This window comes from Homo sapiens, chromosome 3 (assembly GCF_000001405.40).
Source record: "Homo sapiens chromosome 3, GRCh38.p14 Primary Assembly".
NCBI lineage: Eukaryota > Metazoa > Chordata > Mammalia > Primates > Hominidae > Homo > Homo sapiens.
The window spans coordinates 141,956,837-141,971,355 of NC_000003.12; the positions used below are offsets into that span (position 1 = coordinate 141,956,837).

Below are 14,519 nucleotides of genomic sequence, written 5' to 3' on the forward strand. Positions count from 1 at the left end.
ATCGTTTGAGCCCATGAGTTCGAGGCTGCAGTGAGCAGAGATTGCGCCACTGCACTCCAGCCTGGAGAGCAAGACTCTCTCCCCTCCACCACCACCCTGCCCCACCCCCCCCACAAAAATCACAGCGAGATATCACTTCACTTCTGTGAGGATGGCTATAATTCAAAAGATGTATAGTGACAAGTGTAGAAAAGGATATGGAGGGCAGGCACGGTGGCTCACATGTATAATCCCAACACTTTGGGAGGCTGAGGCAGGTGAATTCAGGCCAAGAGTTCCAGATCAGCCTGGCCAACATGGTGAAATCCTGTCTCTACTAAAAATACCAAAACTAACCGGGCATAGCGGCAAGGTGCCTGTAATCCCAGCTACTCAGGAGGCTGAGGCAGGAGAATCACTTGAACCTGGGAGGTGGAGGTTGCAGTGAGCCAAATTACGTCACCGCACTCCAGCTTGGGCGACAGAGTGAGACTCCGTCTCTAAATAAGTAAGTAAGGATGTGGAGAAATTGGAACACTTATCCACTGGTTGGACTGTAAATGGTACAGGAGCTTTGGAAAACAGTTTGGTATTTCCTTAAAATGTTAAACACAGAGTTACCATATGACCCAGCAATTTCACTCGTAGGTATATGTTTTTAGAGATAAAAACATATGTTTACACATAAACTTTTATAAGAATGTTAACAGCAGCATCATTCGAGATAGCCAAAAAGTGGAAACAGTCCAAATATCTACCAACTGATGAATGGATAAACAAAATGTGGTCCATCCATACAATGGAATAGTATTTGGCAATAAAGAGGAATGAAATACTGATGGTGCTACAACATGAACGAACCTTGAAACACTACACTAAGTGAAAGAAGCTATCCACAAAATGCCCCATGCTGTAGGGTTCCATTCACATAAAGCGTCTTTCTAGAATAGGCAAATCCATAGTGACACAAAGTAGATTAGTGGTTGCCAGGGGCTGAGGGAGAATGGGGGAATAGAGACTGTTAATGGGTTTGGGTTTCTTTTTGGGTTTTTAAATTAAAATATTCTGGAATCAGATAGTGGTGATGATTAGCAACCTTGTGAATATACCAAAACATCACTGAACTGACATTTTTAAATGGTGTATTTTATGGCATGTGAATTCAATCTCAATTTAGAAAAGCTACAATGGTATCATTTCAGACCCACCTGATTAGGAAAATAGAACACTTCTACTCTGCTGGGGAACGTGTAATTTGGTAAAATCAAATTGAAAATTTTTGGTATCATCTAGTAAAGCTGAAGATGTACCCAACTCTGACCTAACAAGTTCAATCTGTACGTTTGCATGTGGTCACTGGGATACATGTATAGGAATGTTCAAAGCAGCACTGTATTTTAACATCAAGCAATCGGAAACAAACAGTTTATTTTCAGTAAAATAAACAGATAAGCTGTGATGTATTCATATAATGGAATTTTACACAGGAGTAAGAATGTATGAATTATATCTATATTAAATCACATGGATGACTCTAAAGAACATAATATCGAGTGAAAAAAAATCAAATCACCAAAGAGTATATTACTATGACTTCACTTATATAGAGGCCAGAAGTAGGCAAAACTAAATAATACATTATTTCCAGTTTACCATTTTGGTTTATCTCTAAAGAAATGCAAGTGAATGACAATGAAATGTAAGAGAATGGTTATATTTGAGGGGTGGGAAAGGGCACAGAGCCTGGGGCAGGGGCATGCAGTGGACTGGAACAGTAATGTGCTTTCCTCAGCTGGGTGCTGGATTCATGGGGGTCTACTGTACTGTGACCCTTCAGAGTCTACAGACGTAAACAACCTTTGTATCTACTCAGTATTTAATAAGAACAATTTAAGACTGGGGAAAGAGGAAGAAGGAACAGTAAATATGGTCAACTTGAGAAGTTTTACTGTAAAGAGGAGCAGCGTACACAAATGTGAATCCAGGTTTACCCCGTTCTGCCCTTTTTTCCCCTGACATTTAAACTTTCAGTCCACTCCTCCTCTCTGAATTCAATTAATCAAATGTTTTTATGTATGGGCAGATAATAGATATACTAAATTTTCCATTAGAGGGAAGTAGGATGTACCTACTTTTTTTTTTTTTTTTTTTTTTTTGAGACAGAGTTTCACTCTTCTTGCCCAGGCTAGAGTGCAATGGCGATCTCAGCTCATTGCAACCTCCACCTCCCAGGTTCAAGTGATTCTCCTGCCTCAGCCTCCTGAGTAGCTGGGATTACAGATATGTGCCATCACGCCCGGCTAATTTTTTGTATTTTTTTAGTAGAGACAGGGTTTCACCATGTTGGCCAGGCTGGTCTCGAACTCCCGACCTCAGGTGATCCACCCGTCTTGGCTTCCCAAAGTGCTGGGATTACAGGTGTGAGCTGCAGCGCCCGGCCAGGATGTACCTACTTTCTTTTGTAAATTGCCCAAAGTTTCCCTTGAAGTATCCACAGGGCACTAAGAGAAGATTTTTTAAAACTCCCTCATTGAGCTTTTACTAGCTTACTCTAACTAGGCTCTAAGCTAGGTACTGGGAATTACAAGATCTCTCTGAAGAGCCAAATTCAGTGCTGAGTGAGCCAATTTAGATGTAATAGTATATAATGTGTGGTGTATAGATGTAAGTTCATAATGTTATGAAACAAACTATTTAATCTAATTTTTGAAAAAATGGTCCTAAAGTGTTAAAGGTTTCAGTTTGTCGACACAAGCACAGATGTTCTAAAATTTTGCAATTTTCTATAAGAAAGGTTTTAACAAGTTTGGATTCAACATTTAATCAGGGACAACACATGAAAGCATCAGTTAACATACCTGTGATATAACCTTCTAAAGCCTTTGGCACCAGGGATTTCGCAAGTTTCAGATCCTCCAGAGAGCATTTGCCTGACTCCAGGCCAAACGACATTCCCATCCGCTTTAGTACTTCTATGTCATCATGGATCTCAAAGGTGTTGTCAAAATTGAAAAGATACTCAAACCTGCATCAGGAAACAAAGTAAAGGGTTTTTGGTGGTGCTGGAGAGGTCTGAATAGTTTTGTATTCTATAGTTTAAGTAACAGAATGGGGGCCTAAATCCAGCTATAGTGCTAGAAATTGCTACCATTTAGAGAGCCATGAGTCATTCTGCTCTGTCAGGGGAATGACATCTCAAATAAAACACTTTCCCAATTAAAACAACATTCCTCTGACAGATGATAGAAACCCACAAACTTTAGCCCTAACTCTGTTACAAACAGAGGATAGAAATTTTATTCTAAATCCAGTACTTCTCAAAGTTGCCTACAGCTTTGCCACAAAAGAAAAGCCTTTCTACTTTAATATTACGATATCCCTATTCCGAGTTGGCCTGTTAGCTTTGAGGAAAAAAACATTTTGAATGCTTACTTCATTTTCATGAGTCAAATGTTAGCTACAGCCTACTTCAGATAAGCAATAAATAGAAGACTTTCAACAAGTGAAAACAACCCCAAATCCTGTCCTGAGAGGCTAAGGAGTAAAATGTTTTAAGAAAAAATGTCACATGTAATACAAGCACGTTTCCAAATATGTTTGGAAAGTACCCAAATTGGATTCCCAGCTTCCCAGCAGCCCAACACACGTTAATCAAGAGGCAAAAGAAGGAAGACACAGTCCTTCCGACTCCTAGGCTAGGCCTGGAGCACCTTCATCATGGGCCTCAGCCCTGCAGGGACAGGGTTTGGGGACAATGGTAGGTTTCACCTGGTCATGAAATTCTATTAAAATCATGTGAGGGTAAAACTTTATACCCTATCTAAGATAATTTGAATAACAGATTATCTTAGAAGCAAAAATTATAATTTGAAGCAAAATACCAATTTAAGTAATCTAAAGTATATGAATTTGATTAAAGTACAATAACAACTTAAAAAAAAAAATCTGAAGTGGGTGCCTGCCACAGGGATGATTTCAGGCATCTGTTAAAAGCAGATCGTTTTGTAAATGTAATCCTCATTGTGGAAAGCCTCTTGGCTAATTATGGGGAAAGACTGCATCACCAAAGTAACTGAAAGGGTTTTTGGACCTACGTCGGATAACAAGCTTGTACAAGCTACTCAGAGCCTCCTTCCCTCCACTCAAAGGAAGGCCAAGGAAAGGGCATGAGTCAGGGACCACCCAAGAGATGGAAGCCTCACCAGATTCCAGCCTGGGGGAACAGTGTCCACAATACCCTAGGCCAATGATTCCCAGATTTTCCCATCATTCTTTTTAGACTTAAGAGACTAACCTAAGATAGTTTTATAATTCTCCATACAAAACAAGAGACTAATTTGAGAGAGTAACTAGAATGCTAAGTTTTGTGTTTTTTATCTGAAAAGATGCTAACCATTTTCCAGAATTCTCAGTTTTTTGTTGTTTTTTTTTTTTTTTTTTTTTTTTGAGACAGAGTCTTGCTCTGTCGCCCAGGCTGGAGTGCAGTGGCACGATCTCGGCTCAATGCAAACTTCACCTCCTGGGTTCAAGTGATTCTCCTGCCTCAGCCTCCTGAGTAGCTGGGAGTACAGGCGCGTGCCACCATGCCTGGCTAATTTTTGTATTTTTAGTAGAAATGGGGGTTTTACCATGTTGGTCAGGTTGGTCTCGAACTCCTGACCTTATGATCCACCCACCTTGGCCTCCCAAAGTGCTGGGATTACAGGTGTGAGCCACCGTGCCCGGCCTGAATTCTCAGTTTTCTGAGACTATGTTAATGGTCCTCTTTGACATATATTTATAAAGAATTTGCAAGTGTGTGGAAAATAATTCAGATATCTACCACTTACTGACCACTGGGCTGGGTTGTATATTAATTTACCCATAACTTTTTGAAACTGGCAAGGTAAATACTATAATTCTTATTTTTGTGGAGAAAGGAACATGATCTCAGAGAGGTTAAGAAACTTAGAAGATTAAAAAATGGATCAGCTTTAGTTGGCCAAGGAAGTGTGCACCTGCAGTCCTGGCTACTAGGAAGGCTGAGGCAGGGGGACCGCTTGAGCCCAGGAGTTTGAGGCTGCAGTGAGCTATAATCGTGCCTGTAAATAGCCACTGCACTCCAACCTGGGCAACAGTGAGAACAGTGAGAATCCACTCTTTTTTTGGGGGGGACGGAGTTTTGCTCTTGCTGCCCAGGCTGGAGTGCAATGGTACAATCTTGGGTCACTGCAACCTCTGCCTCCTGGGTTCAAGTGATTCTCCTGCCTCAGCCTCCCGAGTAGCTGGGATTACAGGTGTGCATCATCACGCTAATTTTTGTATTTTTAGTAGCCACAGGGTTTCACCATGTTGGTCAGGCTGGTCTCAAACTCTTGACCACAGGTGATCTGCCTGCCTTGGCCTCCCAAAGTGCTGGGATTACAGGCATGAGCCAACACGCCCGGCCAAGAATCCACTCTTAAAAAAAAATTTATTGGTTCTGGTTTACTTCATAACCTCTACTATTTCTTTTTGTGTCTATAGTCTCAATTATCAAATAGTTTTGAAATTCCTGCTGTTTTTTTCTTTTTTCTTTTTTCGAGACAGAGTCTTGCTCTGTCGTCCAGGCTGGAGTGTAGTGGCACAATCTCGGTTCACTGCAACCCCTGCCTCCCAGGTTCAAGCGTTTCTCCTGCCTTGGCCTCCCTAGTAGCTGGGACTACAGGCGTGCGCCACCAAGCCTGGCTAATTTTTGTATTTTTAGTAGAGACAGGGTTTCACTATGTTGGCCAGGCTGGTCTCGAACTCCTGATCTCAGGTGATCCACTAGCCTCCGGCCTCCCAGAGTGCTGGGATTACAGGTGTGAACCACCACGCCTGGCTAACTCTTCTTTTGTGTGTGTGCCTTCTTAGTGGAGTGGCCCGGAATCTCTGGACACAACAGAGACCGGCAGGGGGCGCAAGAGCGCCAGGAAGAAGAGTGGGAAAACAAGTAGCAGTGAAGCCCAAGGGCAATGTCAGGGCCCTAGGAGACAGGAAGTTCTGGTATCCCTGGGACAGTTCTGGGGTATGCCTGTGGTACTGACGCAATTATTATAGAGTCTTCTTTTGCATTAATAAATCCCTATTTGAACAATAAACTATAGGCTGACCTTTTGTAACAGCAGCTAACATTTAAAAAACACTTACCTCAAGTCATTATAGACATTAACTCATTTAATCCTCACAAGGCTGGGAAGTCATAGGGGACCCAGTATCATTCCTATTTGTTCTTGAGAAAACAGAGCTTTGCAGCAGCGAAGTGGGGGAGCCATAAGCGGTACATGGATCCGTCTCACTCTGCACCCTATATATACTCTTAACTCTTTTATGGTACTGGTCACAGCCTGAAGACCACTGAGAGAAACTTTTTCATGAATGGTAAAATACATCACAAATTAATTCTATATTTTGAAAAGTGCTACTTCTTATTTGCCATAATGAATATTATCATTGATCTTAGTTAAAATGTAAAAACACAATTTAAAGGAAGCAAAGAATGTGCCAGGCATTTTCATGTCTATTCATACATTCATTAATAAACAGAAGCATGCATAACTATGATATAGCAAAACAAAGAAATAATTGGTTTAATGCCACATGTTGACCTAAAATATTTCCGTAATAAACTATGACGGTGAATCACCAATGAATCTACCTTGTCCCAGACCCACAGTGCTGGGCTAACTTATCACAGTTACTTGCTCAGAGTTACCACATACATGCAGCACGTCATAGGTTGGGCCCAGACACTGCCACACACATATAATACAGACAGCACAGTGCCTGGCACAAGACAGGGGACCACAGAGGGTGAGGGTTGGAGCGCACACTAGTGGAAGATTGCACCCATGGTTCAGGAGGTGTTTCATGTGCCCCAAGGAAGCCAGCCTTTGAGGGGTGCAACTAATAAAGTGCATCCTTCTTGAGTTTGCAAATGATATGAAAATGTTAACAGAAGGCCAGCCCTGCACCCATCCCTAGTTCTCCACTCACTTGTCACTGGAGATGCTGCAATCTATGACTGTTTTTCTGCTTGTATTGATGATTATGAATGGCAGCTGAATGGTAGAGTTCAGAGCCGGCGGGCCCTGGTTTTGCTGCTCATTTTGTCGATTTCTCTGTACCAGGTTTTTGAAAGCGATTTGCTGTAATGATCAATAAAAACAATATGGTCAATTGTGCATAAGTGAGTTGGAATTTAAAAGAATTAAGATAATACCTTTAAATATAGTTTAAAATTAGAGTTTAAAGAGACATCCCGCCTGCACTAATGAATTAATTTAAAAAATTAAACATTTAAGAAAGAATGATCCAACTCAATAAATACATTTTTCCATCATCCATAGAAACAGGACCTCACAATCTGGGAAAGAACCAGTAGGCACCTGGAACTCTTCAGCAAATGACACAGCAAGGGTGATACCATTTATCTAACATAGACTCCTGACAGTTTGGGGTCAAATATGCCCCCAAACTTTAGGATGTGTAGCCCAGGGATATGCAAACATTTTAAAGGCACAAAATTGTTTCTTCAAATAAAATCTCGAGGGAGGCTGGGCACAGTGGCTCACGCCTGTAATCCCAACACTTTGGGAGGCCAAAGCAGGTTGATTGCTTGAGTCCAGGAGTTTAAGGCCAACCTGGGCAACATGGCAAAACCCTATCTCTACAAAAAATACAAAAACTAGCTGGGCATGGTGGTATGTGCCTATAGTCCCAGCTACCCAGGAGGCTGAGGTGGGAGGATTGTTTGAATCCAGGAGGCAGAATTTGCTGTGAGCAGAGATCATACCACTCCATTCCAGCCTGGGTGACAGAATGAGACCCTGTCTCAAAACAAAACAAAAAAAAACTCATGTAAAACAGATGGAAGTGGTGCTGTTGAGGCTGGCTGCAGTGAGGCCAGGTCCTAAGCTCTGCCATCTCTGCCCTCAAGCACAGCCACATGGTTTCTAAGGCACCTCCACAGAACTTCTCAGCAGCCTCTGGGCACAGTTTGGAATCCAGCCCCAGCCTTCCCCAACCAGACATTTCCAGATGAGGTAACTGAGGCTCAGCACTAATTATAAGATACATCAAGGCCTAAATTTTTTTACTGGATCTTGCCGCTACTTTTAGTTATAACCATTACTCAAAAGCCAAAGAAAGTGATCTCCCTTTTAGACGGAGGCTGCAGTAAGCCGAGATTGCACCACTGCACTCCAGCCTGGGCAACAAGAGCAAAACTCTGTCTGAGAAAAACCAACCAACAAACAAACAAGTGATCTCCCTTTTTTTAATAAGGTAAATGTACGATAGAATTTCACAGCTAGAAAGACTGTATGCAGTTCAAGTTTTTCATCTGCTCAAGAAACAGATAACGTTTTAAAAGTTCCTCAAGTCAGAGCCATTCATTCCCCTTCATTAGCTTGTTATAATCTTGTCACCCAGTAGTGATAAATTTATTTTTTACATTTTAGCAATCTTATGATCAGTATTGTTTATTTCAGGTTCTGGACCTTAACTAAAGTTTCAGTAAGATTACTATTATTGGCCAGGCATGGTAGCTCACACCTGTAATCTCAGCACTTTGGGAGGCCGAAGTGGGAAGTTCTCTTGAGCCTAGGAGTTGGAGGATGCAGTGAGCTATGACTGTGCCACTACATTCCAACCTGGGCAACAGAGCCCTTTCTCAAGAAGAAAAAGAAAAGAAAAAAAGGAAAGAAAAGAAGGGAAGAGAAGGGAGGGGAAGGGGAAGGGGGAGGGGAAGGGGAAGGGGAAGGGGAAGGAAAGGGGAAGGAAAGGAAAGGAAAGGAAAGGAAAGGAAAAAAGAAAAGAAAAGAAAAGATTACTATTATCTTAAAATGGCTGAGTGCTATCTCCCCAAAAGGGGAAGATTTACTCTTTGAAAAGCACAAAAAATAATGAACACCAATTTATTGTAGACCTAAGTGTGTCCAAAAATCACTATCAATAACTAGCACTATCAATATCATTACCAAACATTATTGAGGTTACATTTCATTATTTTCTGTTGCTAAAAAACGAATTCATTGCTTAATTCCTTTAATAATGAGGAAAAATTATGATTAAACTGTGGAACTGAGAAAAAGAATTACATGCTTAAATACTCCTGCATAGCTTCTCTTCCCTTTTACTAGAATACACATCTCAAGAGCTGTTCCTACACTTTGCCTAACTTGGTGTCTGTCCCTAGTGCCACAAGAGGACCCTGGTATATGGGGGAATATAAGCAGTGATAACTAATGGCCCTTATGTATTTGTGATTCACTATTTAATGCTGTGTACATTTAATAGTATCAATGGTTTTTCAAGTGAAGAGAGCAGTAAAAACATAATGTTTTTATTATTATTATTTATTATTATTTTTTTGAGACGGAGTCTCACTCTGTTGCCCAGGCTGGAGTACAGTGGCACGATCTCAGCTCACTGCAACCTCCGCCTCCCAGGTTCAAATGATTTTCCTGCTTCAGCCTCCCGAGTAGCCGGGACTACAGGCACCCGCCACCATGCCTGGCTAATTTTTGCATTTTTAGTAGAGGCGGGGTTTTACCATATTGGCCAGGCTGGTCTCGAACTCCTGACCTTGTGATCTGCCCACCTCGGCCTCCCAAAGTGCTGGGATTACAGACATGAGCCACTGCACCTGGTCATAATAATGTTTTTTTTAACACTGTCACAAATTTCATATACCATATAATGTTATTTTGGATAGTAAAAGGAAAAATAATTCACTTATTTTGAACTGACTTATTTGTTGCCCTTTGATTGATTTCCTTTGGCCTTTTGTTCTTTTTCAAACTCATTAACATCTATTCCAGAGGCTGAACAGCTTTAAGTGTGTTCATTCATTTTCCTATGCGTTTATTATGGAAAAGGTTTAAGGGCTGGAAAGGGCAATTATAGAGATAAAAGTAGGATATTGGGATTATCTACAGGTTTGCTTTACTCACTCCATTCTTCTACATTACCAAAAATAAAAGAGAGGTGGTAGCAAGGAGGTAATAGTTACCTGTGTCATGTGACATGAGTGAGTTGTGACATGAGCTTATAAAAAAAAATCAAGTGAGCTTAGCCACAGCAAATGGATTACTTATTAAAAAAAAAAAAAAAAAAAAGACAGAGTCTTGCTCTGTTGCCCAGGCTGGAGTGCAGTGGTGCAATCTCGGCTCACTGCAACCTCCGCCTCCCGGGTTCAAGTGAATCTCTTGCCTCAGCCTCCTGAGTACCTGAGATTTCAGGTGTGCACCACCATGCCTGGCTAATTTTTTTATTTTTAGTAGAGACGGGGTTTCACCATGTTTGTCAGGCTGGTCTCAAACTCCTGACCTCGTGATCTGCCCACCTCGGCCTCCCCAAGTGCTGGGATGACAGGAGTAAGCCACTGTGCCTGGCTGCTTAATTTACTTTCTATGACAACTTAATTTATTTGATGAAAGGAAAAAAACTGAAATGCTAGGAGGAAATAAGTTTTTTGTTTTTTTTTTTTTTGAGACAGAGTTTCGCTCTTGTTGCCCAGGCTAGGGTGCAGTGGGGCGATCTCAGCTCACTGCAACCTCTGCCTCCCAGGTTCAAGAGATTATCCTGCCTTAGCCTCCCAAGTAGCTGAGATTACAGGCATGCGCCACCATGCCTGGCTAATTTTTTGTATTTTTAGTAGAGACGGGGTTTCTCCATGTTGGTCAGGCTGGTCTCGAACTCCTGAACTCAGGTGATCTGCCCGTCTCCGCCTCCCAAAGTGCTGGGATTACATGCGTGAGCCACCACATCCGGCCTTTGGAAATAAGTTTTAAGTTTACCAGAAGACCACAAGTTGATTTCAGTTATACTTTGGGTTTCACTTTAATGTTTAGAGAGACCTGTTTCTATGAATGTTGACAGCCATGTTGCCCCTGGGTGGAACTCTTCTACAAATATTTGGTTTGAGAGACAGTAGAGGAAAAGAAGTTCAAGACTTTAAAAAATAAAAAAACAATGTTCATGGTACAGAGGTAAGCAGGGAAAAAATATGGTTTCATTCTTTGCATCAGGCATCTAGAGACAGGAAAGTCCTACACACATGAGGGTGATCTTGCCCAGCACCATTCTTTCTGATAGGCAGATGACTGTTGGCATGCTGATAAACAGGTTTTTAAAAATAACGTGCCAAAAAAATTAAGCTCCAAAATGTTCCATGGTTTTGAAGAAATTCCAGGAGGGCCCCAGCACAGGGTTTGGGGCATGAGCTCTTAGGGGATACTGCAGATAACTGTGCAGGGACAGGGACAACAGAGAGGCTGCCGGGGGGAAGAAGATGGCAGCACAGGAGTTCAAGGAGGAGTGTTTGGTAGAATTCTACAGGCAGGAGCATAGGAATAAACTGTCAGTTTCAGCTTTTTTTTTTTTTAAAGCTGCACAATATTCTCTTCAAACAAAACATTATTATTTATATATTATATATTATATATAATTATATATAATATATAACAATATATATAATATATAATATATATAACTATATATAACATATAATATATATAATATATAACTATATATAACATATATCTCATATATAACATATATCTCATATATATAACATATATATCATATATATAACATATATATCTCATATATAGATATATATAACATATATATCTCATATATAGATATATATATAACATATATATATCTCATATATAGATATATATAACATATATATCTCATATATATAGATATATATAACATATATATATCTCATATATATAGATATATATAACATATATATCTCATATATAGATATATATAACATATATATCTCATATATAGATATATATAACACATATATATCTCATATATAGATATATATAACACATATATATCTCATATATAGATATATATAACACATATATATCTCATATATAGATATATATAACACATATATATCTCATATATAGATATATATAACATATATATCTCATATATAGATATATATAACACATATATATCTCATATATAGATATATATAACACATATATATCTCATATATATAGATATATATAACATATATATCTCATATATATAGATATATATAACACATATATATCTCATATATATAGATATATATAACACATATATATCTCATATATATAGATATATATAACACATATATATCTCATATATATAGATATATATAACATATATCTCATATATATAGATATATATATAACATATATCTCATATATAGATATATATATAACATATATATCTCATATATATGAGATATATATATATAACATATATATATATCTCATATATATGAGATATATATATAACATATATATCCCATATATATGAGATATATATATAACATATATATATATCTCATATATATGAGATATATATATATAACATATATATATATCTCATATATATGAGATATATATATATATAACATATATATATCTCATATATATGAGATATATATATATATAACCGGCCTAAATTTTGGTATTTCTATAAATCTTACTGAAACAGACCCAGTGTGGTGGCTCATGCCTGTAACCCCAGCACTTTGGGAGGCTGAGGCGGGTGGATCACAAAGTCAGGAGTTCAAGACCAGCCTGGCCAAGATGGTGAAACCCCGTCTCTACTAAAAATACGAAAAAACTAGCCAGGCATGGTGGCGGGTACTTGTAATCCCAGCTACTTGGGAGGCTGAGGCAGAGAATGGCTTGAACCCGGGAGGCAGAGGTTACAGTGAGCCAAGATCGCACCACTGCACTCCAGCCTGGCGAAAGAGTGAGACTCAGTCTCAAAAAACAACAACAACAAAAATCTTACTGAACTATTTCATGCCATTCTGTCATTTACTGATAAAATTAAGTATTACAGGCAGATTTGATTACTGTACTTGAAGCACCTAAAATTTAACTAGCTTCACTAGTGGATATTCCAAATTCGGGCTAAAATAAACAAACACAAAAAGACCCCTGACAGTTTATGTTTAGAGAGGCCTGAGTGTCAACAGTGAACTGCTGCCTGGCGTAAGTCACACACAGGGCAGGGAAGCTACTGTGGAGCTGAGATGATGGCAACAGATGGGACCATCTTAAGGCAGAGCACGTGGATGGCAACAAGCTAGGAGGTGAGAGAGGCTGCCCTGGCGTGGGCTCACCACACACCACTCAGAGGCACCACAATTAGAAAACACACTGACTCCAAAAGGCAGCAAGTGGAGAAACAGGGAAGGTAATGAAAACATCTCGGTATCTTTACCTGTAGGAGAAGTTCTTGCAGCTGGGCCCGCTTCTGCTTTATCCGTTCTATCCGCCTCTGCTTCTCTATCTTTAAAACATTGGTTACAAAATAATATGAACATAGGTAGACTATAAAATATCGTTCACTTTCCAGGTCCCTATTCTGAGATAACAATTTTCCCTAGAGAAACTGAACCCATTTTAACAATATGAATAAAGACAAATCATATCTTTGTAGGGGGCAGGGGCTGGAGTGAACAAGTAGACACAACATCAGATCTGTGGCAACTGTCATTAAAAATGAAATCATACACTTAATGAATACTTGTTAGCAGTACTTGTTGCAATTATTATTCAAGTTCTAATCAAAGTAATAGTACCACTTAGTTTATACTCACTCTATCTGCCAACACAAAAGTAAGCATTTTACACACATTATCTTAATTCACCTTCACAAAAACCTTATGAGTTAAGTCCTGTTGTTATCCACTTTGCATCGAAGGGAACGGAGGCATAGAGGGCTTAAGTAACTACCCAAGGTCACGCAGCTAGTGAATGGCAAGAGCCAAGATTTGAACCTAAATCCTCTGGTTACAGGGACTCTATTATTAATTACTTTGTTATATTACTCCTCTAAGAATAAGGCAAGATCTTATTTACAATTCCAGCTTAGCTGACTCTCCAATGAGGACAGCTGATAATACAGATATCTCACACATCATGGTAGGCTGGGTGTGGTGGCTCACGCCTGTAATCCCAACACTTTGGGAGGCCGAGGGGGGAGAATCACTTGAGATCAGGAGTTTGAGACCAGTCTGGCCAACATGGCGAAACCCTATCTCTACAAAAAATACAAAAGCCAGGTGTGGTGGCGCGCATCTGTAGTCCCAGCTAATTGGGAGGCTGAGACACGAGAATTGCTTGAACTTGGGAGGCAGAGATTGCAGTGAGCCAAGATCATGCCACTGCACTCCAGCCTGGACAACAAAGCAAGACCCTGTCTCAAAAAGAAAAAAAAAAAAAGAAACATGCTTATTGGACAAATTTTCCAGCTTCAAACTACTGCTTTTTTTCTCAATCTGATAACTACTCAGAGAAAACAGACATTAGGGTCTGAACTTCCTTGCAGTTGAGTTCCTCACTGTCTCCTTGGGCAAAAGCCAATGACATTTATTAAGAAAAGTTATGGCCAGGCGCGGTGGCTCAGCCTGTAATCCCAGCACTTTGGGAGGCCGAGGTGGGCGGATCACAAGGTCAGGAGTTCGAGACCAGCCTGGCCAAGAGACCAGCCTGGCCAATAAG

General features: G+C 39.9%; 1 protein-coding gene across 27 annotated transcripts in view; it reads right to left on the bottom strand.

Annotated features, from left to right (window-relative positions):
• The window catches only part of TFDP2 (transcription factor Dp-2), a 205,117-nt gene that overhangs the window by 12,409 nt on the left and 178,189 nt on the right, over positions 1–14,519 (bottom strand). For all 27 annotated transcript variants that reach the window (NM_001375780.1, XM_017007100.3, NM_001178139.2 and 24 more), the window contains 3 exons: positions 13,237–13,305; positions 6,976–7,127; positions 2,838–3,004 (listed from right to left, as the gene is read on the bottom strand). In NM_001375780.1, the coding sequence (NP_001362709.1) occupies positions 2,838–3,004; positions 6,976–7,127; positions 13,237–13,305 (388 nt within the window). The remainder of the gene's footprint in view (positions 1–2,837; positions 3,005–6,975; positions 7,128–13,236; positions 13,306–14,519) is intronic.